This window comes from Homo sapiens, chromosome 2 (assembly GCF_000001405.40).
Source record: "Homo sapiens chromosome 2, GRCh38.p14 Primary Assembly".
In the NCBI taxonomy this organism is placed as follows: domain Eukaryota; kingdom Metazoa; phylum Chordata; class Mammalia; order Primates; family Hominidae; genus Homo; species Homo sapiens.
The window spans coordinates 41,156,242-41,157,778 of NC_000002.12; the positions used below are offsets into that span (position 1 = coordinate 41,156,242).

The window sequence follows — 1,537 nt, forward strand, 5'->3', positions numbered from 1 at the left end:
TAAATAAAATCAAACTTTTATAGTGTATCTCAATAGAAATTGCCCAAAATACATTATCGCAAAGTTACCAAGAAAAAACATTGTATTGTCACTCAACCTTAGTAAGTTTTGACAGTTAATATTTTTGTTTCTTCAACTTTTTCTTGGGATACTTTACTGTGCTTTCTTTATTCAAATGAAATGATCATATCATGTCTATTTAATATATTTTTCACATCCTCTGATAATAGTAAAAATTCTTGTGTTGTGTAAATATTTATAATACATTTATTTGCTTAAAATACTTTCATAGCCTTTCTGTCCATGGATGCCGCCGAAGAAGCATGGTTAAAATCTCTCTTCTCTCTGCCATCAGGTCTAAGTCTGAGTCTCCTAAAGAGCCTGAACAGCTGAGGAAGCTCTTCATTGGAGAGTTAAGCTTTGAAACAGCTGATGAGAGCCTGAGGAGCCATTTTGAGCAGTGGGGAATGCTCATGGACTGTGTGGTCATGAGAGATCCAAACACCAAGTGCTCCAGGGGCTTTGGGTTTGTCACATATGCCACTGTGGAGGAGGTAGATGCAGCCATGAACGCAAGGCCACACAAGGTGGATGGAAGAGTTGTGGAACCAAAGAGCGATCTCAAGAGAAGATTCTCAAAGAACAGGTGCCCATTTAACTATGAAAAAGATATTTGTTGGTGGCATTAATGAAAACACTGAAGAACATCATCTAAGAGATTATTTTGAACAGTTTGGAAATATTGAAGTGACTGAAATCATAACTGACCAAGGCAGTGACAAAAAAAAGGGGCTTTGCCTTTGTAACCTTTGATGACCATGACTCCATGGATAAGACTGTCATTCAGAAATACCATACTGTGAATGGCCACAACTGTGAAGTTAGGAAAGCCCTGTCAAAGTGAGAGATGGCTAGTGTTCATCCAGCCAAAGAGGTCGAAGTTGTTCCGGAAACTTTGGTGGTGGTCATGGAGGTCTTTTCAGTGGGAATGACAACTTTGGTCATGGAGGAAACTTCAATGGTTGTGGTGGCTTTGGTGGCAGCCATAGTGGTAGTGGATACGGTGGCAGTGGGGATGGCTATAATGGATTTGGTAATGATGGAAGCAATTTTGGAGGTGGTGGAAGCTACAATGATTTTGGCAATTGCAACAATCACTCTTCAAATTTTGGACCCATGAAGGGAGGAAACTTTGGATGCAGAAGCTCTGGCCCTTATGGTGGTGGAGGCCAATACTTTGCCAAACCATGAAACAAAGGTGGTGATGGCGGTTCCAGTAGAAGCAGTAGCTATGGCAGTGGCAGAAAATTTTAATTAGGAAACAAAGCTTAGCAAGAGAGGAGAGCCAGAGAAGTGACAGGGAAGCTACCGGTTGTAATAGATTTGTAACCTTAGCCAAGCACAGTGGTGGCAGGGCCTAGCTGTTAAAAAGAAGAAATGTTTTAGAAAAACACTCATGTGTATGGGCAAAAAACTCGAGGACTGTATTTGCGACTAACTGTATAACAGGTTATTTTAGTTTCTGTTCTGTGGAAAG

General features: G+C 40.5%; 1 pseudogene; it reads left to right on the forward strand.

Moving 5' to 3' along the window:
• Positions 1-323: 323 nt before the first annotated feature.
• Positions 324-1,314, forward strand: HNRNPA1P57 (heterogeneous nuclear ribonucleoprotein A1 pseudogene 57; annotated as a pseudogene).
• The last annotated feature ends 223 nt before the right edge of the window (positions 1,315-1,537 follow it).